The sequence below is a fragment of the Homo sapiens genome, chromosome 5 (genome assembly GCF_000001405.40).
Source record: "Homo sapiens chromosome 5, GRCh38.p14 Primary Assembly".
In the NCBI taxonomy this organism is placed as follows: Eukaryota; Metazoa; Chordata; class Mammalia; order Primates; family Hominidae; genus Homo; species Homo sapiens.
Genome location: NC_000005.10, coordinates 75558663 through 75582494, shown reverse-complemented (window position 1 = coordinate 75582494; position 23832 = coordinate 75558663). Strand labels below are relative to the sequence as shown.

The following is a 23832-nucleotide window of genomic DNA, read 5'->3' as shown; positions in this document are numbered from 1 at the left end:
TCCTTTTTATGTTATTCACAAAACAAATTACTATTTTTCAAAAAGATGTTTCACAATTTCTAGGAGTCCTAATTAAGATAATTTGAAATAGCTATATTCAAATATATTCATTAAACAGTTCATTTTAATTGTTATATAGATCTTCCTAAAATGCATTATTCATTCTCATGCTTTGGTGTAGAAAGAAAAGATTTACCTAATCACAATATGGCTTTTACAAGATAGTTCAGGGTCCTCATGATGAATAACAGTTATTATGTTAAGAGACAGTGATGGCCTCATGGGTTATCAACATATGTAAATTTGTTTTTCCTTTTACCAGATTGTTCTGGATTGCTATGTTGCTAGTTAGTATTTCTTTTGTCTCTTACCTTGTGGCCGTCTGGGTTCTCTCCTGCAATGTAATCTTGGACAGGATTGAAGTCTCCCAAGGAAAAACTAATACTCAAGTTATTACATGCAAAACCAATAAAAATATATTTTGTGCTAGAAAAAGATAGCTATATGAAATTTATGAGTCGGGCGCGGTGGCTCAGGCCTGTAATCCCAGCACTTTGGGAGGCCAAGGTGGGCGGATCATGAGGTCAGGATATGGAGACCATCCTGGCTAACATGGTGAAACACCGTCACTACTGAAAATACAAAAAATTAGCTGGGCATGGTGGCATGCGCCTGTAGTCCCACCTACTTGGGAGGCTGAGGCAGGAGAATCGCTTGAACCCAGGAGGCAGAGGTTGCAGTAAGCTGAATGAGATCGCCCCACTGCACTCCAACCTGGGCAACAGAGCAAGACTCCATCTCAAAAAAAAAAAAAAAGAAAGAAACGTATAATCTTTTTTTTCCTTCAGGCTCATAGTCTGCTTAATTCCAATTTACTTACTAGGTTCACAGCTATTCTGAATAGGTAAAGTTGTTAGAAGTTGAATGAAAGACTAAGTAAGTAAAATGTTACTATATACTTTATAATGAGAAACTACTAATATTACACTTAAATTAGCCAGTCTGAAAATTATAACTACAGTGGCCATCAATACTCTTTTAAATACCTGCACTGGCTGTCAGTGTTGTTTTCTGCTCAATTCTGAAACGAATTTCCTTTACCACTTCCTGGGCTGATGTTCCAAAAACAACTGAGTTTTGGAGTATTTGAGGATTGTTTTGTTCTTCAAAGTTCACTTGGAAAGGATCTCCTGGGGGCTGCACATCAGAAGGACTCTCTTCAAAAAGTAGTGGAGAGATGGATCGTTCATGCTCACTCAGTTTATTAACTTCCTTTCCTGGATTATCTAAGTCATAAACAGGAAAATAACTCACCTTTATTTTAAGAAGTATATACTTCATAAGTTAGGTTTCCCTACATTATTTCTGAAGACAAAAACAAAAATCTAGTTTAGTTTAGTTTCTAGGATCCAAGATCAGAAATGCCATCATTTATCATTTAATGTTTTATAACCATTAAAGAGAACACTGATTATGAATTTTTCTTAAAAAGACTATTATCCATTTCCACAGTATAAATATTAAAAGGAAATATCTTATGTAAAACTCACTAATGTTCGTACCTAAATTAATTGAAATTCAGAATTAGGTTTCAGTTCACATTACCTTTTTCTTAAAAAAAAAAAAAGGAAATCTTTTCTTTATTCTTCTTTAGGAAGAAAAAGAATCTTCGAAAATTAGAATTTAGAATATAATAAACAATATATAATAATTATACTGAAAATAAGTTTTGTTTTTAGAAGGAAAAACACTTAACTTTTCTTCATTTATGGAAGAAACCTTTTAGATGTTAAAATAATCTGAATTTTCTTCTTTCAAATGCTGATTTTAATTTTGATTTGCTTGTTTATAAAGTATCACTTTGACTAAGGGCACATTTGTAATAAATAGAAATTACCTGTGAAAGTTATGCTTCTTTGAATATACAAATTCTGAAGGTCTGATTGGATAATCCAAGTTTAAGAAAAAGAGACGTTATTATTAATAGGCTATAAACTATTATTACAAAGTAAAGTAAAAATACCAGTCTGGTTATTGCCTCTTTATATTTATATTTTTCATAAATGGACTGTAAAATATTCTTAAATCTATACTGATACTAAAAATGTCTCCATGAACAAATCTATTAAAGCCTGTTTTCTTGGCTTAATGTAGAAGAAATACAATTTAAATGTATTTATAACAACCAAGGTTAGCAACAAAGCTTTCTGATCCCATCTCGTAATTTTATTACATATAAATATTTTCCAAATTAAGGTCAATACAGAAGAAAAAATTAAATTTCTAGTTTTAAGATGCATACGAATGTATATTACTTGAAAAATGTATTTGGCTGTTTAGGAAAAAATTTTAAAGATAATATAAAATAAATATGACAGACATCTGATTAATTTAAAAATTTAAAATATGTAGTGTGAAGTAAGTCATAGATGTTAATTCAGTCAGATGTTTTCCAAATCTGAATTCCCAGGGCACATACACAATAAGCTTATTTTCTTTCTCTCTTTTTTTTTTTTTTTTTTTAAGACAGGGTCTCCCTCTTGCCCAGGCTGGAGTATAGCTAGGACTACAGGCGCGAGCCATCACGCTTAGCTAATTTTATAATTTTTTGGTAAATATAGGGTTTCACAATCTTGCCCAGGGTGGTCTCAAACTCCTGGCCTCAACTGATCCTCCCACCTCAGCCTCCTAAAGTGCTAGGATTATAAATGTGAACCACCTTGCCTCGCCAATAAGCCTTATTTTCAAACTTACATTAGCTGATATTTATGTGCTTCAGTTCCTGTCATTTTTTAATATGCTGGTTTTAAAATGTAGAACAATTCAGAGGGGAAACAGGCCAGGCAAGGTGGCTCACGTCTGTAATCCCAGCACTTTGGGAAGCTGAGGTGGGAGGATCACCTGAGGTCAGGAGTTCGAGACCAGCCTGGCTAACATGGTGAAACCCCATCTCTACTAAAAATACAAAAATGAGCCAGGAATGGTGGCGCACAGCTACTCCGGAGGCTGGGGCAGGAGAATTACTTCAACCCAGGAGGCAGAGGTTGCAGTGAGCTGAGATTGTGCCACTGTACTCCAGCCTTGGTGACAGAGTGAGACTCCATCTCAAAAAAATAAAAAAAAATAAAAAAAAAATAAAGACTGTGAAACAATTGAAATGGTATCTACCTGGAGCCCTTTTCCCCATCTGGATGGGTAGAAGTCACGGTAAAGAAAGCTACAGAAAAACTGCAAACCAAGTAAGTTATCTGCCACATTCATAAACCCGTTCTGCAGAGTTTTTTATGCCATGTTTTGTACCTCATGCCTCTACCACCCTGCCCTCAGGTGAGCCACTGTGAGAGCAGAACTATACAGCAGGAAGTGAAGAATGCTGCCTTCTCACACATTATCAGAGCTGCTGCAGAATGTTCAGGTACCTTTTCAATCTGAACTACTTTCTACTTTTTTGTGAGGCCTGGCTGTGTAACTAAGAGCTGAAGTAGTTTCTTATTTGCTTTGTGACAGAAACATCTTTATAATCCCCATAACTAAGGTAATCAGAATGTAACACTAGGATTAAAGCATTTCATTTGGAAGACAAGTGCTAAAAAGTGTATGGTATTTCAGTTTCTTATATTATCTGGCACTCACCATCCAGATTTACATGGGAGAGTAAACATTTAAAAAATTATTATTTTATTTGTATGTAGAGATGGTAGTTAGCAATATATTTCCAAAGACAAACACCTTTTAGAAAATGGGGAAACAGCAAAACAATGTCTTGGACTTTAGAGGAAGATATATCAATTGCCTTCCACAGTTCCAATGCACTATTGACAATTTCCCATGGCATGATGTGAGGTGAGACACGCCTGAAAGTCCAGCCCACAGGTATTTACACATGAGAAGAAAAGTTTAACTATTCCAATTGTTTAAGAATATGAAAATACACGAAGAGGGCAATATACAAGTAAATATGTTAAAAGCAATAGATATTAAAAATTCACATATTCATAGTGAGTTTGGACATTATAATAAATGAAAAGAACATTAGTAGGCTGGGCGTGGTGGCTCATGCCTGTAATCCCAGCACTTTGGAAGGCCGAGGCGGGCAGATCACCTGAGGTCAGGAGTTTGAGACCAGCCTGGCCAACATGGTGAAACCCCACCTCTACTAAAAATACAAAAAATTAGTCGGGTGTGGTGGCACGCGCCTCTAATCCCAGATACTTGGGAGTCTAAGGCAGGAGAACTGCTTGAACCCAGGAGGCGGAGGTTGCAGTGAGCTGAGACTGCACCACTGCACTCCAGCCTGGGCAACACAGTGAGACCCTATCTCAAAAAAAAGAAAAAAATTAGTAGAAAATGAAAACATTTACTTTAATCCCAATGTAAAGCTTTTAAAACACATCATGCAAGTAATTGTTATGGGAGGCCCTCAGGGGATGCTTTGACATAATTATTTAATGATTTTCCCCCATTCTCTTGTGAAAGTAAGGAATTAATAAAGTAAGATTTTATACAAAGTGACATCAGGCTTTATGTTCCACATCCTCAAACAATAAAGTTACACCAAATAAGGAAAACCTTTTGCTCTGTGCCTGTGTCGAGAAATGATGATTATTGTTTAATGCTCCTATAAAAAAAAAGAGAGAGCTATCCCTTAGCACTTTAAATAAGGTAATGAAGTTGTATTTGATGCCCATATTAAACTTGCATCAAATGATGTGAGTCACAAATAATGTGAGAGAGTTAGATTAATGTCATTGTGGATCTACCATTTTTGCTTCAGGGAAAGTTACAAACAGGTCTCCCCAGCACTGCCTGGCCCGTCTGAAGCAATGAGTGGTGCACATGAAATGTTCCTGTGGGTTGTGAGCAAACCCTTCTGTGTCACTTTTTCATCCAGGTGAACTTTGTTCAGGGGTCCAGGACATCTCAGACATAATCATACCTTTGACAAAATGTTGAAAGCAGTATGTGTAATATCTGCATGTTTCTTGGCATTGCTTTTGGATAGGTCATAAAGGGATTATTTTTTTAAAAAAACCCTGGAGTCTTGAAATTATAAAGTCTAAGGCAAAGAAGGGAGTGGGAAGTCATTAATTTTGGCAGAGCTAAAAACAGTCATAATTGCTATAATAATTAGATTATAGAAAATTAGGAAAATGAAGAAAAATAGAATCATCCAATGTTTTGATATGTTTGAGGCTAGTCTTTTCTAACAACAAGAAAAGGCCGCTTTAAACAGACAACTTCCTCAGCTTCAATGCCATCCAAACTCTTTGTTAGTTAGACCTTAGGAAAATAACTGCTATAAAATTACTTTGTTCAGGGACTCTGCAGACTCTTAAGCTCAGAGATTTAACAATCACATTTTGTTTATATGTGATATTCCACATGTTTAACTCAGAAAACCCACTGGTATTTTTAAAATTTTCTGATTTTACATTTTTATAAAGGTACATATCTATCCCTTCTACCTATGCAGGCTAATAAATTAATTGGATTAATTCAAAGAGTTGTGGGTTTTTTTTTTTCACTGCTTCTTGGTTTGATAGTCTTAATAAGTTGCTTACCATTTTCTACAGAGCTTCCCATTTTGATGAAATACCTTCTTTTATCCTCAGGCCAATTTTGTCTTTCTTCTAAGTGCTTTGTTATATTCAAGTAGGCTTCATCAAGACTCATGGCCATAAAATTGGGATCATAATCAGCAAGTATTTCCTTAACCTTCAAAGGAAACAAAAAAAAGTTTAAATTTTGCTGTGATAGCAAACTTCTTCTGTCATATGTAGCTGATAAGAAATGTTAATATTCTTAGTTTGCAACTACAGTAACAATCCTGCAGTCAATAGTTCATGGATTTAAGGAATAAATAATCCACTACCAGGGAATATTTTCAAAATTTCCTTTTGTATTAAAATAGACCATGAAGGCAGAAGACCATAAAATAGCTTCATTTGATACAATCTCTATTTAGCTACCTATATCTAGTTATAATAAGCAATTCAAATAAATCTCAGAAAACATTATCTGGTAGGCCCATACAAAAAAATGGTTAAGGTTTTAGGTAGCTCGTCAGAAGCTGAAGTGGGAATGATAGGATTCTATTCCCTCCTGCCTTTTGTGATTTATTGTTTTTGGTTCATTTTAAAAAGGAATAATCTTATATAAAGGTACTATGTTGCTTTAGAAAATATTCCAATTAATTATAACATGCACATAAAAGTCCACTTAACATTAATTAATGCATTAATCCATACAGGAAAAGGAATGTTTTCTATTTCCTATTACTTATTAAGATCTGGAATGGAAAAAAATGACAATCTATAGTGTACTCCATGATTACCTTAAATGATGGGGAAAAGTCTGGAGTAACATCTTAGGATAAAAGAAATACATATAAAGATTAGAATTATAGTGGCTTTTAATTCAGAAATGCCTTTTATATAACATAGTGTTACTACATAAAACTATGACTTTTTTTTCTAACCACTTAAGTATTAGCTATAATTAGAGGCAATGGTTGTCAAAATAATATGCATATTTTCCAGCTTGGGTGACAGAGTGAGACCCTGCCTCAAAAAAAATTTATATTAGAAAACATATTTGCTGAATTACGTTAAGCTTCCATTTAGCTTTTAAAACTGTCTACTGTATCATGAGAAAACTGTTTCTTCTTTTATAAAAACAAAGGTTTTTAGCTTAATATAATTATGAACAGCTGAGTCAAAGGGAATTTTAGAAAATGGTGATATAAACTTGGCCAAGTTTTACTCAGAGAGTGCCTTAATTAGCTTTGTTCTTGTTATAATGTGCTCAAATAGAATCTTTCCAATGAAAATGAAACTCTGTGAAGTCTGTAACTGGCAGCCAACTAAGATTCTGAATGAGAAGTACTCCCTAGAGACACTGTTGAGTATTTATTAACTTCCTTTACATAGGATATTGCTGTAAGAATTAAAAGAGACGTTCCAGTAAAAATCAAGCACTTAAAGCTCCAATATTTTGGATAAAACAAAAATGGCTAACTGGGCATGATGGCTCATGCCTGTAATCCCAGCACTTTGGGAGGCCTGGGCAGGATAATTTTTTGAGGCCAGGAGTTTAAGCCTAGCCTGAGCAACATAGGAAAACCCTATCTCTGCAAAAAAATTTTAAAATTAGGTGGGTGTGGTGATGCATGCCTGTCAATCTAGCTACTCAGGAGGCTGAGGCCAGAGGATTGCTTAACTCAAGAGTTTAAGGTTATAGTGAGGTATGATCGAGTCACGGCACTCCAGCCTGGGCTATGGGGTGAGACCCTGTGTCAAAAAAAACGGGAGGGCTTTTTCTTAAATTTTCTAACCAAGTCATGAATATTTATGTATCCATAGGCAGTGATGAATTTGTTCTACAGTTCATTTACACAGAAGAACTCATTTGTTATCTGCATATAAACTAGCTAGATCCGGCTCAAATTTGAAGAGTTCTCTGACTTACATAAATAACCAGACTAAAATAACTAAAAACACTTTGGTTTTCACTGGCATACTGCCAGAAGTTTTGCTGAGTTAAAGTACGACTTTAAAAAATACCTTTTCTTACTAAACTTTTGTAGGATTTTTAAAACTTCTTAAAAGGCTATATTTATGATTAGTATTTTATCTCTTTTTAATTAGGAATACAATGAAAGAGATAAGCAGTAACCAAATGTAAGTGTGCTCCCCTCTCCTCCACCACCTTTTCAGAGGTATGCAAAAAGCACTTGCTGTCACAGACTGCCTTGGACAGAAAAAAAACAAACAAACCTGTGTTTAAACTTGGAATAGTGTCACTTCTAGGGAAAATGAGGTGGAATACAAATAAGAGGGGTGAATTTAAAGACCCCTGGTATAACTAAAGAGTAATAAGTATTAGGTCACAGTTTTTTTAAGTGTTTCCATTCAGGCAGCAGTCTTAAACACATTTTACTATAGCAGTCTAAAAGTATTTGATGTAGTAGTCTAAAATTTTAATTCAAAAATTAAATTCCAGCACTGCATGATAGACCAGTTGTCATAAAAAATAGAAAAAATGGCGGTTTTCACATATGACAGTTTGGCAATTTTAGTAAATAATCAAATCTACTTCAAAGATCCTTTTTGAAGCAATGGATTACTCCCTTTTCAATTATCAGTCTCTTAGACAGCAAATGATTATGGGGCAAGTAAAGTAGGCTAATCAAAATACATGAATTTTGTCACTGTTTAACAACATTAATAAGTAATTATTCAGACAATAGGTTGAAATTAATGATGAGTAGATTCTGTAAGTTATAAATAAAATGTGGTTCTAGAAAAAATGTATATTGTACATTAAGAAAAAATAGCTAAATTTAATTTTATATTATCATTAAGGCAGTTCAAAGTTTGAGGAAATGGGAAGTTTTCTAAGCAAATGAAAACTGCATGGAAAGGCAAAGAATTGGGAAAAAGAATGATGTATTCTGGATGCTATATGCAGCTCAGTATTCAATATACAAGCTGAAGAAGTGATAGGAGGCTCAACTGAAAGGATAAGCTAAGACCAAATCCTACGTGCTAAGGCACTTGGACTTGAGATTCTGTAGGTGACAGGAACTCAGTGAAAGCCTAAAGTAGGGGTGAGACATTAACTTACCTCTTTACTCACAGCTCGGTATTTGTCAAAGTTGGGGGGCACTATTATAAGTTGTGGGCACAGCCTCTTAGCAATAAATCCTGGCATGGCTGCACGAACACCAAATCTCCTTGCATGGTAATTTGAAGTAGACTGAAAGAAAATTGACCACATGGAAAAAAATACACAAACCTAAATGGACATATTGATCAATGCATTCATAAGAAACACATTAATATGTGCATTTTCAATTCAAGGACATTTCATTTATAGGCCAGTTTTTTGTTTTTGTTTTTGTTGTTTTCCAAAAATAGAATGTATTAAGCATTGTTTTTTATTAATGACTCAAGGTCATCATTCTATCATATATTTTTTTAATTATACTTTAAGTTTTAAGGTACATGTGCACAACGTGCAAGTTAGTTACATATGTATACATGTGCCATGTTGGTGTGCTGCACCCATTAACTCGTCATTTAATATTAGGTATATCTCCTAATGCTATCCCTCCCCCTTCCCCCCACCACACAACAATCCCCAGAGTGTGATATTCCCCTTCCTGTGTCCACGTGTTCTCGTTGTTCAATTCTCATCTATGAGTGAGAACATGTGGTGTTTGGTTTTTTGTCCTTGCAATAGTTTGCTGAGAACGATGGTTTCCAGCTTCATCCATGTCCCTAAAAAGGACATGAACTCATCATTTTTTATGGCTGCATAGTATTCCATGGTGTATATGTGCCACATTTTCTTAATCCAGTCTATCATTGTTGGACATTTGGGTTGGTTCCAAGTCTTTGCTATTGTGAATAGTGCCGCAATAAACATATGTGTGCATGTGTCTTTACAGCAGCATGATTTATAATCCTTTGGGTATATACCCAGTAATGGGATGGCTGGGTCAAATGGTGTTTCTAGTTCTAGATCCCTGAGGAATCGCCACACTAACTTCCACAATGGTTGAACTAGTTTACAGTCCTACCAACAGTGTAAAAGTGTTCCTATTTCTCCACATCCTCTCCAGCACCTGTTGTTTCCTGACTTTTTAATGATCGCCATTCTAACTGGTGTGAGATGGTATCTCATTGTGGTTTTGATTTGCATTTCTCTGATTATAGGCCACTGTTTTAATCCAAGTTTTGACTTATTCTGTCACGGTATTTTGATACCATGACCCTCTCCCATTACTATCCCTATATTTATAATGTGATACCAGGTATAAGCAAGACTGTGCTAATAAAAAGATTTTCTTATATTTCTACCAACTAAACTTCATTGGTTTTAAGGCATACTTATTATAGAATGAATATCAAAATTTGGATGATAGTGAGTTATGTTACATGAAAGTAATAGTATGGTAAGTTGTATAGAATAGTCATAAAATAATAGTATAGTACAATTAGTATAGATGTTACATTATATAAAGTAATAGTATAGTATAATAGTAAACTTTTCGAATTTGGTCTATTTGGGATTTTGGAAACTTTTCATCTAGAACAAAAATAAAAGGTCTATGTGGTCAGCCAAATTAAGTCTCCAAAATGAAGTGATTAAAGCTTAAAATAAGTTTAGAAATTAAGGTTTTTCTTAAGGCTTAATTATCTTTTTTGCTGAAAACATTTTGACTAGGAGATGGAACTACAAAAGTATGAGAGTAAAAAGGAGAATATTGCTTATTAAATCCTGTTGGTGATGATATCTGATGAAAGTCTATGTGAACGTGGTAGACCACAGTACTATTTATAAAACAAATTTTATCACAAATTAAATCCTTATTTAGAATCTCAAGTGAAATTTCAAAGAAATGCAAAACAGAAACAAATGAAGGGATTATTTCAGAATAATATGAATTTTCGTCTAATGATTTTCAAATGGCACTTAAAACATCTTGATAGTACTCAGAACTATACTAATCCTTGGTCAGTGTTCTGGAACAGAAAATGTGGATAGCACTAGAAACAAAACCAATGGTTTAGTAAATAAGTTTAATATAATTGACATAAAAGCTAGATCTATAGCAGAGGACAAACAAACTTTTAAATAAGAATTTCTCTAACTTTTAGATTTGTGGTATATTGTAGATCACAGCCACAATACTTTACAAGTTACTCTTATCAAAAGTGGGTTCTAGTTCCTCATGCCACGTGACTTGCCTTGATAAAAATAATGTGAAGGAAGTGACACTGAGTTCTGAAACCTAGGCTTTTGCTTTTTGTAATCCAGCAACCATTGTAAATATTTTGGGGTAGATTACTAAATGTTGAAGCAACAATGGAGAGGAGAAAGTTCTGAAGCTGGAATCCATTCCAATCTCCTCAGTCGAAGTGCCAGACCTATGAATGAAGCCACCTTGGATTTTTTAGCCTCAGTTAAATTGCCCTAGCCAACTCCAGGTAGAGCAAGGTTGAGCCATCGCCATCGCACTCTGCTCAAATTACAGAATCATGAGCAAATAAATTTTGGCTGTCCACTAAATACTGGGGGAGGCTGTTATGCAGCAATAGGTAACTGCTGTAGGATCTCAGTTGCAACTCTCAGTGCCAAGTTAGAACATTTCAAAAATCCATCAAATTCGCCAAAAAAGAATTTTATCAGTGGGAATAATCAAACAATCACTCCCATTAATTTGTAGATATACTTTCATATGTTTAATAGGACAAAAAGTTATGCTTAGTAGAAGGGAAAACTATTTGTTCAACATACAAAAGGGGTAATCTTTGTTTAAATATAACAATAATTTTGAATTTAGAAACAATAACTGATTTTTAGGAGGACAGAAATTGTAGGAAAGAAAATATTTTGTAGATTTCAAAAGCAGTTGGTTTAGCTTTAACATGGCTACAGCAAGTTTGTATGTATACACATACATAAACATACATAAATTTATGGTGTTATATCTTAATAAAATTAAATATATTTTTTGAAATATTTATTGATGATTTGTAGGAAAGGGGAGTTTCCTTTCAAAAAACAGTGTTTTGGAATCAGACTTATCAGCTGCCTGCATACTCACAGAGGCAGAGATAAAAAAACAAACAGATTATAGTTTTATAATAAAATAATCACTCAGTAAGAATTAGTTTTGTAGCTATCTAAGGCATGGGAAGGAGTTAGGAACAGGGAAGAACTCTTCTTGTTTTTCTAATACTTTTTAAATATTATCTCATCTATTTTAGTTGCTACTTTTAATTTCCAACACACTTTCAGCCACACATAGCTATCCTGGTTCTTCTAAGGTTAGAGTGGTAAAAAGGAAGAGCAACTCAGTAATCAGAAAAGCAAAAGTTCTAAGTCATGGGAAAAACAATTTAACTGCATTCTAAATGTACTCTATTAACGAAGTATGTTATTCCAGAACTAGGGTTGGCAAACCTTTTCTTTTCTGTGGAAGTCCAGATAGTAATCATTTTAGGCTTTGCAGATCACTTAATTATTGAACTCTGCTCTTTTAGTGCAACAATAGTAATAAATAAATGGGTGTGACTTTGTTCCAATAAAAAGCTGGATTTGGCCTGCAGATCAGTTTGAAAATCTCTATTAATACTTTAGAATAACATTTCCTTTTCTTTCTTCTTCAACTCTCTTTAACTAGAACGGTTACTTATGGAAAAATTTAATTTGCCATGGAAATTATTAGGTTTGTAACTTTGGGCAAGTTATTAAACATCTCTCTGAGTTTTCTTTTTTGCCAAATGGAAATAAAAACTAGTACCTTAAAGCAGCAGTTCCTAACCTTTTTGGCACCAGAGACTGGTTTCGTGGAAGACAATTTTTCCACGGACTGGTGGGGTGATAGTTTTGAGATGATTCAAGCACGTCACATTTATTGTGCACTTTATTCCTATTATAATTACATTGTAATATATAATGAAATAATTACACAACTCACCATAATGTAGAATCAATGGGAGCCCTAAGCTTGTTTTCCTGCAATTAGAGAATCCCATCTGGGGGTGATGGGAGACAGTGATAGATCATCAGGCATTTGATTCTCATAATGAGTATGTAACCTGGATCCCTCACATGTGCAGTTCACAATAGAGTTTGCACTCCTATGAGAATCTAATGCCACAACTGATCTGACAGAGCTCGGGCATACTGCAAGTGATGGGAAGTGGTTGTAAATACAGACGAAGCTTCGTTTGCTTGCCTGACGCTCACCTCCTGTTGTGAGGCCCAGTTCCTAACAGACCATGGACCAATACCAATCTGTGAACTGGGGGTTGGGGTCCCCTGCCTTAAAGTATGTTGAAAGGATTCAGTAATTGAGTCATATATAAGGCACCCAGAAAAATACTCAGCAAACTGGTAGACCTCAATAAAGAATTCCCCCTTCATGAAACAGTAAAGCTTACTTGAGTACGTTATAAAATTTCCTTTTTGTATTTGATCTTTACTTACCAGCATACTCATTGATCCTACAGCAATGGGTTTATCCTTCAATTCTGGATTGTCCCTCATTTCTACAGCTGCATAGAAAGCATCCATGTCAATGTGCACTATGGTATTGCTCAAATTTCGGCTTTGTTCTAATTCCATTGCAAATCTGTCAACCTTAATTTTTTAAAAAAGTTAACATACTTTTAGACAACATAATATTGAAACACCATTAACCACAACATTAATCTTAATTTATTAAGTGTCTATCAGTCTCTGTCCACACACCCATTCATCCATCCATCCATCCATTCATCCATCCACCCATCCACTTACTTATGGGTGTGTATTTTGTTGTTCATGGGTGTTTATGGGTTTATATTTTATTATTGTTTATAAGTGTTTATCTATGTATATTGTATTGTTTTTTAAATTAAAATTGGTAATTGCTTTTATTTTCATAGAGACAGCCTATCCTCAAATATAATTCCCTACTAACCCTTTCATCTCTCCATACCCTTAGGCACATAACAGGAACTTAATATTTAATGAATGAATGATCTAATCCAACTGCTTTTATCAAATGATTCTACTGCTTTATAAATTTGGAGTCCAACTCACTATAACTAAAAGCTTCAATGTAAGTAAAATAAACAACTGACATTTGATTCATAATAATAATGTCTTAAAAAAGCAACAAAGGAAATATACAACAAAATATAGTACCTCTTTGGCATATGATGTTTATGCTGAACAGGAAGGTACAACTGAAGATACTGTAGCATAATGTAAATGTTCCTCTGTAGAATTGCTTTTATAATGTTAAAATTTGATGTTAATCTATACAAGTAAAATTTAAAACCCAAGCTGTAATTTATTCTTCATGAACTTTAATATATATGTCAAATACAATAGTGAAGATTCTTAATCTTTAAAGAATTTTAGTTTCTTCAGAGAAAACTAACAACTTAGTTTTACAACGAGAAAGAAATGAAAGGGGGTAGAAATAAACAAAGGAAGCAAGTAAGAAAAGTGATTTTGCAGCAGACATACTCATTTCTAACTTCCATTTTTGTGGCCGGCCTCCACTATCAAGGCAAGAAAGGCTAAATACTCACTTTCCCAGCTTACCCTGCAGCTGGAGGTGGCTGTGTAATAGTTGTGATCTATGCAACATAGGGAAGTTACCAAGACCATTAAAGTAAAAATCATAAGAAAGCTATTAAATAAGCTGGAAAATATACAGAACATAGAACAGTACCTGGTACATGGCACAAGTTCAATAAATACATCTATTACTAAAAGGATCAATGGATAGCTGCATAATAAAACATTAAAAACTGAGAGAAAAACAGCCAGCAATGAGCAAGTGGGGTCATCTATGGAACGTGGAGTTCCCTCTAGCAAGTTTTCTCAAAGGTGGAGAGCTATAGGTGTATATGTGGCTTTTTCCCTCATGTTGTACTCCAGCTTTGCCTCCACTCTGCAGAATTTTTTTTATGTCCTTCCTTCTTAGTCTTACTGTGACACTAGCTGCCCACTAGTCGCAGGTTAAAACTATAACTCCTCTTTTAGAAGCAATCACCCTGACTCATGTTTGTCTACAGGAGGTACAGTGAAATCTGTAGGAGGCTTCCCCTTGTTTAGGCTACAGCTCACTGAATGACCTGGGTTGCTCTATGCCTTCCTCAGGCTGTTCCTCTGTCTAGAGTGCCTTTCCAAGCTCTGTCACAAGCCTTCAAGGATCAGCTGAAATATCTCTTCGTATCTTAATGGAATGTCTGTCCTCTGTGCCACAGAATTTAATGTTCCTTGCTTTCCTGCTCTTGCATGGCACTTACTGTATTAGATACTAAATTGTCAGTTCCTTCAGGAGAAAGACCTTATCTGATTTCAAATTATTTTCTCACAAGAGAGACGGGGAGGGGAGACTAGAAGGAGAAAAATAATGAATTTATAGCAGTATATTAAAGTTGGTTTAAAAAGTGAAAGGAGTACTAGTAGAAAAATCTTGAAGAAGGCTAACTTCTTACAGTAAAATCCCATACCTAATAAATGGAACCTTTCAATATTACCAAAATTTAACATGCTAATTAAAACCTACTTCTTTTAGTACCTCAATTCTGAACCAGAGAATAGCACCATGACCACATATAAACAAATTATGGAGATTAACAAAAACAAATGTAAACTAAAAACTACTCTATTTTAATCCAGAAAATATACCTAAGAAATAACAGTCAAATGAGAATAAGAAAGTGGCATCTGAAATACTTGGACATGGAATCATCTAGAAAAGAAAAAGATAATAAATAGAAAGCAAGTCAAATGGGAAAAAATTCTCCTCAGACTCATATATTAATGCTATAATAATGTCTTCAGCAAGCTATTCTCTTTTTTTGTGCTTAAAGCAAGTGTAGTTGCCAAAAGGAAACCTCTCCACTGCATGACTCATACATTCCACTTTCCTTTACTATCTCTCATTAGTCACCCTTGTCTGAACTCTTTTCTTTCTACATCAACCAGATGCATGCCACTACTGCTTTTAAAAGTTTCTTCAACTGAAATCCCCATTCATATTGTCCTTTCTTCCATTTTCCAATGACTTTCAAGTTCTGATCTGAGTCTCCAACATGCACGTTGTTCCTTTTGCTACTGCTCAAAACTGGTGTGTGTCACACTCGTTAAGAATAACGGCTTCGGGGATTCCCGGGTAAGATGGCTGCAGCTCCCAGTGAGACCAAGGCAGAAGGCAGGTGATTTCTGCATTTCCAACTGAGGTACCCGGCTCACCTCACTGGGACTGATTAGAAAGTGGGTGCAGGCCACGAAAGGCTAGGAGAAGCAGGGTGGGGTGTCACCTCACCTGGGAAGCACAAGGGGTCTGGGAACTCCCTCCCCTAGCCAAGGGAAGCCGTGAGGGACTGTGCCGTTGGTGAGGGATGGTGCTATCCAGCCTAGATATTACGCTTTTCCCACTGTCTTCACAACCTGGAGACCAGGAGATTTCACGGGGTGCCTACACAACCAGGGCCCTGGGTTTCAAGCACAAAACTGGGCGGCCATTTGGGCAGACACTGAGCTAGCTGCAGGAGTTTTTTTTCATACCCCAGTGGTGCCTGAACGCCAGAGAGACAGAACCGTTCATTCCCTGGGAAACGGGGCTGAAGCCAGGGAGCTGAGTGGTCTGGCTCAGCGGATCCCACGCCCACGGAGCCCAGCAAGCTAAGATCCACTGGCTTGAAATTCTCGCTGCTGGCAGAGCAGTCTGAAGTTGACCTGGGACACTCCAGCTTGGTGAAGGGAGGTGCGTCATCCATTACTGAGGCCTGAGTAGGTGGTTTTCCCCTCACAGTGTAAACAAACCCAGTGGGAAGTTCGAACTGGGTGGAACCCACCACAGCTTGGCAAGGCCACTGTAGCCAGACTGCCTTCCTAGATTCCTCCTCTCTGGGCAGGGCATCTCTGAAAGAAAGGCCACAACCCCAGTCAGGGGCTTATTGATAAAACTCCCATCTCCCTAGGACAGAGCACCAGGGGAAAGGGGCAGTTGTGGGCACAGCTTCAGCAGACTTAAACATTCCTGCCTGCTGGCTCTGAAGAGAGCAGCGGATCGCCCAGCACAGCGCTCAAGCTCTGCTAAGGAACAGACTGCCTCCTCAAGTGGGTGCCTGACCCCAATGCCTCCTGATGGCAGGGGTTGACAGACACCTCATACAGGAGAGCTCCAGCTGGCATCTGATGGTGCCCCTCTGGGATGAAGCTTCCAGAGGAAGGAACAGGCAGCAATCTTTGCTGTTCTGCAGCCTCCACTGGTGATACCCAGGCAAACAGGGTCTGGAGTAGACCTCCAGCAAACTCCAGCAGAACTTCAGAAGAGGGTCCTGCTAGAAGGAAAAATAACAAACAGAAAGCAACAGCATCAACATCAACAAAGAGGATAACCACGCAAAAACGCCATTCAAAGGTTACCAAAATCAAACACTAAAGGTAGATAAATCCACAAAGATGAGGAAAAAACAGTGCAAAAAGGCTGAAAATTCCAAATAACAGAACACCTCTGTTCCTCCAAAGAATCCCAACTTCATGCCAGCAAGGGAACAAAACTGGATGGAGAATGAGTTTGACAAATTGACAGAAGTAGGCTTCAGAAGGTGGGTAATAACAAAGTCCTCCGAGCTAAAGGAGCATATTCTAACCCAACACAAGGAAGCTAAGAACCTTGATAAAAGGTTACAGGAACTGCTAACTAGAATAACCAGTTTAGAGAAGAACATAAATGACCTGATGGAGCTGAAAAACACAGCACAAGAACTTCGGGAAGCATACACAAGTATCAATAGCTGAATTGATCAAGCGGAAGAAAGGATATCAGAGACTGAAGATCAACTTAATGAAATAAAACATGAAGACAAGGTTAGAGAAAAAAGAATAAAAGGAACAAACAAAGCCTCTTAGAAATATGGGACTATGTGAAAAGACCAAACCTACATTTGATTGGTGAAACTAAAACTGACAAGAAGAATGGAACCAAGTTGGAAAACACTCTTCAGGATATTATCCAGGAGAACTTCCCCAACCTAGCAAGAAACGCCAACACTCAAATTCAGGAAATACAAAGAAAAACACAAGATACTCCTCGAGAAGAGCAACCCCAAGACACATAATCATCAGATTCACCAAGGTTGAAATGAAGGAAAAAATGTTAAGGGCAGCCAGAGAGAAAGGTCAGGTTACAAAGGGAAGTCCATCAGAATAACGGCAGATCTCTCTGCAGAAACCCTACAAGCCAGAACAGAGTGGGGGCCAACATTCAACATTCTTAAAGAATTTTCAACCCAGAATTTCATATCCAGCTAAATTAAGCTTCATAAGTGAAGGAGAAATAAAATCCTTTACAGACAAGCAAATGCTGAGGAATTCTGTCACCACCAGGCCTGCCTTACAAGAGCTCCTGAAGGAAGCACTGAATATGGAAAGGAAAAACCGGTACCAGGCACTGCAAAAGCATACCAAAATGTAAAGACCACTGACACTTGAAGAACCTGTATCAACTAATGGGCAAAATAACCAGCTAGCATCATTATGACAGGATCAAAATAAATGCCCCAATTAAAAGACACAGACTGGCAAATTGGATAAAGAGTCAAGACCCATCAGTGTGCTCTATTCAGGAGACCCATCCCATGTGCAAAGACACACAACGGCTCAAAATAAAGACATGGAGGAAGATTTACCAAACAAAAAAGAAAGGAAAGAAAGAAAAGAAAGAAAGAAAGAAAGAAGAAAAAAAAGCAGGGGTTGCAATCCCAGTCTCCGATAAAACAGATTTTAAACCAACAAAGATGAAAAGAGACAAAGAAGGGCATTACATAATGGTAAAGGGATCAATGTAACAAGAAGAGCTAACTATCCTAAACATATATGCACCCAATGCAGTAGCACCCAGATTCATAAAGCAAGTTCTTAGAGACCTACAAAGAGACTTAGACTCCCACACAATAACAGTGGGAGACTTTAACACCCCACTGTCAACATTAGACAGATCAACGAGACAGAAAATTAACATGGATATTCAGGACTTGAACTCAGCTCTGGACCAAGCAGACCTAATAGACATCTACAGAACTTTCCACCCCAAATCAACAGGATATACATTCTTCTCAGCAACACATCGCAATTATTCTAAAATTGACCACATAATTGGAAGTAAAACACTCCTCAGCAAATGCAAAAGAACAGAAATCATAACAGTCTCTCAGACCACAGCGCAATCAAATTAGAACTCAGGATTAAGAAACTCACTCAAAATTGCACAACTACGTGGAAACTGAACAACCTGCTCATGAATGACTCCTGGATAAATATGAAATTAAGGCAGAAATAAGTAAGTTCTTTGAAATCAATAAGAGAACAAAGACACAATGTACCAGAATCTCTGGGACACAGCTAAAGCAGTGTTTAGAGGTAAATTTATAGCACTAAATGCCCATAGGAGAAAGCAGGAACGATCTAAAATCAACACCCTAACATCACAATTAAAATAATTAGAAAAGCAAGAGCAAACAAATTCAACAGCTAGCAGAAGACAAGAAATAACTGAGATCAGAGCAAAACTGAAGGAGATAGAGACACGAAAATCCCTTAAAAAAATCAATGAGTTCAGGAGCTGGTTTTTTTGAAAAGATTAACAAAATAAGCAGACTGCTAGCCAGACTACCAACCAAAAAAAAGTCCAGGACCAGACAGATTCACAGCCAGATACAGTGGCTCACGTCTGTAATCCCAGCACTTTGGGAGGCTGAAGCGGGCAGATCACCTGCGGTTGGGAGTTCAAGACCAGCCTGACCAACATGGAGAAACCCCACCTCTACTAAAAACACAACAATTCACAGCTGAATTCTACCAGAGGTACAAAGAGGAGCTGGTACCATTCCTTCTAAAACTATTCCAAACAACAGAAAAAGAGGGACTCCCCGCTAACTCATTTTATGAGGCCAGCATCATCCTGATACCAAAACCTGAGAGAGACACAACAACAACAAAAAAATTTCAGGCCAATATCCCTGATGAACATCAATGCGAAAATCCTCAATAAAATACTGGCAAACCAAATCCAGCAGTACATTAAAAAGCTTATCCAACGCAATCAAGTCAGCTTCATCCCTGGGATGTAAGGCTGGTTCAACATATGCAATTCAATAAACGTAATCCATCACATAAACAGAACCAATGACAAAAACTACATGATTATCTCAATGGATGCAGAAAAGACCTTGGATAAAATTCAACACCCCTTCATGCTAAAAACTCTCAATAAACTAGGTATTGATGGAACGTATCTCAAAATAATAAGAGCTATTTATTACAAACCCACAGCCAATATCATACTGAATGGACAAAAGCTGGAAGCATTCCCTTTGAAAACCAGCACTAGACAAGGATGTCCTCTCTCACCACTCCTATTCAACATAGTATTGGAAGTTCTGGTCAGGGCAATCAGGCAAGAGAAAGAAATAAAGGGTATTCAATTAGGAAGAGAGGGAGTCAAATTACCTCTGTTTGCAGGTGACATGATTGTATATTTAGAAAACCCCATTGTCTCAGCCCAAAAACTCCTTAAGCTGATAAGCAACTTCAGCAATGTCTCAGGATACCAAATCAATATGCAAAAATCACAAACTTTCCTATACACCAATAGACAAACAGAGAGCCAAATCATGAGTGAACTCTCACTCACAATTGCTACAAAGAGAATAAATAAAATACCTAGGAATACAAATTACAAGGGATGTGAAGGACCTCTTCAAGGAGAGCTACAAACCACTGCTCATGCAAATAAAGGAGGACACAAACAAATGGAAAAACATTCCATACTCATGGATGGGAAGAATCAATATGGTAAAAATGGCCATACTGCCCAAAGTAATTTATAGATTCAATGCTATTCCCATCAAGGTACCACTGACTTTCTTTACAGAATTAGAAAAAACTACTTTAAATTTCATATAGAACCAAAAAAAGAGCTTGTATAGCCAAGACAATCCTAAGCAAAAAGAACAAAGCTGGAGGCATCATGCTACCTGGCTTCAAACTATACCACAAGGCTATAGTAGCCAAAACAGCATGGTACTGGTAACAAAGCAGATATATAGACCAATAGAATAGAACAGAGGCCTCAGAAATAACACCACATATCTACAACCATCTGATCTTTGACAAACCTGACAAAAACAAGCAATGGGGAAAGGATTCCCTATTTAATAAATGGTGTTGGGAAAACTTGCTAGCCATATTCAGAAAACTGAAACTGGACCCCTTCCTTACACCTTATACAACAATTAACTCAAGATGGATTAAAGACTTAAATATAAGACCTAAAACCATAAAAACCCTAGAGGAAAACCTAGGCAATACCATTCAGGACACAGGCATGGGCAAAGACTTCATGACTAAAACACTGAAAGCAATTGCAACAAAAGCCAAAATTGACAAATGGGATCTAATTAAACTAAAGAGCTTCTGCACAGCAGAATAAACTATCAGCAGAGTGAACAGGCAACCTACTGAATGGGAGAGAATTTTTGCTATCTATCCATCTGACAAACAGCTAATATCCAGAATCTACAAGGAACTTACACAAATCTACAAGAAAAAACCAAACAACCCCATCAAAAAGCAGGCAAAGGATATGAAGAGACACTTCAAAAGAAGACCTTTATGCAGCCAACAAACAAAAAAGCACATCATCAATGGTCATTAGAGAAACGCAAATCAAAACCACAATGAGATACCATCTCACACCAGTTAGAATGGCAATCATTAAAAAGTCAGGAAACAACAGATGCTGGAGAGGATGTGGAGAAATAGGAATGCTTTTACACTGTTGGTGGGAGTGTAAATTAGTTCAACCATTGTGGAAGACAGTGTGGCGATTCCTCAAGGATCTAGAACCAGAAATACCATTTGACCCAGCAATCCCATTACCAGTTATATACCCAAAAGATTATAAATCATTCTACTATAAAGACACATGTACATGTATGTTTACTGCAGCACTATTCACAATATCAGACTTGGAACCAACCCAAATGCCCATCAATGATAGACTGGATAAAGAAAATGTGGCACATATACATCATGGAATACTACGCAGCCATAAAAAATGAATTCATGTCCTTTGCAGGGACATGGATGAAGCTGGAAACCATCATTCTCAGCAAACTAACACAGAAACAGAAAACCAAACACTGCATGTTCTCACTCATAAATGGGAGTTGAACAATGAGACCATATGGGCACAGGGAGGGGAATATCACACACTGGGGCCTGTTGAGGGGTGGTGGGCAAGGGAAGGGATAGCATTAGTAGAAATACCTAATGTAGATGATGGGTTGATAGGTGCAGCAGACCACCGTGGCACATGTATACCTATGTAACAAACCTGCACATTCTGCACATGTATCCCAGAACTTAAAGTATAATAAAAAAACAAATTTTTTTAAAGAAACAAAAAATAGAATAACGGCTTTGGTTCGGGTCCTAGCACTGCAACTCATTAGTTACAGGACAGGGAGCAATTTAACCCCTTTCATGCTTACTTTCCTTATTTGTAAAGTGGTACTAAACCAACCTCAATAGGTTATTGAAAGAATTAAAAGAGACACCCATGTAATGCACCTATCTAGGGATACAATAAGGGCTTAATTATCTATAATTATAAAGTAGAAGTTACATTTATTGGGTATATGTGTCATATAATATGCTAAGTGCTTCCTATGTTAACTCATTTACTGGTCATAATTCTGAGATCATAATTATTGTTCCCATTTTATAGATGAAACTAAAGCTCAGTAAGAGTAAGTAATTTGCCCTAAGTCATAGAGCTAGTAAATGTTAGCACTAAACACTGAAACCAGGTTACTCTGAAGTCTGTTTTTGATTATGTTATGATGCTTCCCTATAATAGATTTTTTAAAGTCTGTAATGTTGAAATACACTCAAATCAAACTGTAATGGTATATTTTCCATCCATATTATGTCTTATTTTCTTTATAAATATCCCATTTCTATTACATTGAGGAGACTATTTCAGAAATAATGTGTTTTTTTGGTTTTGTTTTCTTAAATTAGTATTTCCCCAAGACTGTTGAATAAATTTGAGTTAATAAAATCAATTGTTGGCCAGCCCTAGTGGCTCATGCCTTTAACCCCTTTGGGAGGCTTAAGTGGAAGGGTAGCTTGAGGCCAGGAGTTTGAGACTGGCCTGGGCAATATAGTGAGATCCTGTCTCTACGAAAAATTTTAAAAATTAACTGAGTGTGAAAGTGTACACCTATAGTCCCCCCACTACTTGGGAGGCTGAGGCGGGAGGACTGTTTGAGCCCAGTAGTTGGAGGTTGTAGTGAGCCATGATGGTACCACCACTGCACTCCAGCCTGGGTGACAGAGAGAGACCCTGTCTCTAAAAAAAAAAAAAAAAAAAAAAAAAAACAAAACAAAACAAAAAAACAAACCCCAAATCAATAAATTGCCAAAATGGTCAAAATGCACTGATTTGCTGTATAGCTGTCATGCAATGTAACATAAACATCTGTCTACTTGATTTATGAACCCATGTTCTTATACAACAATTTGTCAGTTACAAAAATGACTGTGCTTTAAGAAGTCCACTGAGATTGGGAAAGGGTGGAGTATACTTAGAGAGGTTCTGAACACCCTAGAGGTTCATGCCTGTAAAAGTTGCTTACCTCAGCTCGACTAGCAATAGTTCATACTATCATATCACACATAATAAAATCGAGTACTTGGAAATTTTAAGACTCTAAAATAGAAACACATTTCCTACGAAAACAACTCTGTTCTCTCAGGCCTTCTTGACTCCTTAAACTTCCTCAATCTCCTCCCATTTATACAAATTCTTTTGGAGGAAGCTCAACAAATGAAACAATTGAACAATCAACATAAAACACGTTTCCTGCCATTCCTGTTGCAAAAGATGCCAGAGAGCCTCTGATGAAATAGTCAACCAAAACTGGAACAAAATCTTAAATTCTGCTATACAATGAAAGATACTTTCTATTCCTTCAGATTATTAGTATATTTAAGGATATGAGCTTTAAAAATAGTATGAATAGCTAACAGTTGTTAGCATCACTTATATACTGTATCATTAAAACTGTTAAATATATTTGTAGATTATAGATCAATAAAATGAAAATGTCCAGAAAGTACGTTGCTTAAGGATTAATATCAATTTTAAAATAATATTACTGTGGATAGAACTGATTTTTTTAAAACCTTGATAAAATGATGCCTAAGTTTATTTGAAAGAAACATGCATGAGAAATACAA

General features: G+C 36.5%; 1 protein-coding gene across 28 annotated transcripts in view, besides 3 other annotated features; it reads right to left on the bottom strand.

Annotated features, from left to right (window-relative positions):
- POLK (DNA polymerase kappa) overlaps positions 1-23832 on the bottom strand; it is a 99218-nt gene that overhangs the window by 27497 nt on the left and 47889 nt on the right. For 11 of the 28 annotated variants that reach the window (NR_170560.3, NR_170559.3, NR_144315.3 and 8 more), the window contains 4 exons: positions 13003-13155; positions 8626-8757; positions 5562-5715; positions 1047-1286 (listed from right to left, as the gene is read on the bottom strand). Coding sequence is in view for 23 of the 28 variants with exons in the window: in XM_054328417.1 (XP_054184392.1) it covers positions 1047-1286; positions 5562-5715; positions 8626-8757; positions 13003-13155 (679 nt within the window). In the remaining 5 variants the exon portion in view is untranslated. Of the gene's footprint in view, positions 1-1046; positions 1287-1897; positions 1940-5561; positions 5716-8625; positions 8797-13002; positions 13156-13704; positions 13819-23832 lie in introns of those variants that run through there. The other 17 variants (XR_008485566.1, XM_054328411.1, XM_054328410.1 and 14 more) reach the window with 6 other exon arrangements.
- Positions 15442-15521: an enhancer, noted in NCBI's record as "active region_22683". NCBI's record gives its function as "activates an Ori minimal core promoter by ATAC-STARR-seq in GM12878 lymphoblastoid cells {active_cell/tissue: GM12878}" and the evidence as "EXISTENCE:reporter gene assay evidence [ECO:0000049][PMID:35858748]".
- Positions 15542-15761: an enhancer, noted in NCBI's record as "active region_22682". NCBI's record gives its function as "activates an Ori minimal core promoter by ATAC-STARR-seq in GM12878 lymphoblastoid cells {active_cell/tissue: GM12878}" and the evidence as "EXISTENCE:reporter gene assay evidence [ECO:0000049][PMID:35858748]".
- Positions 15716-16915: an enhancer, noted in NCBI's record as "MED14-independent group 3 enhancer chr5:74861405-74862604 (GRCh37/hg19 assembly coordinates)". NCBI's record gives its function as "activates an origin of replication core promoter dependent on BRD2, BRD4, P300/CBP and CDK7 cofactors, and independent of MED14, by STARR-seq in HCT116 cells {active_cell/tissue: HCT116}" and the evidence as "EXISTENCE:reporter gene assay evidence [ECO:0000049][PMID:35650434]".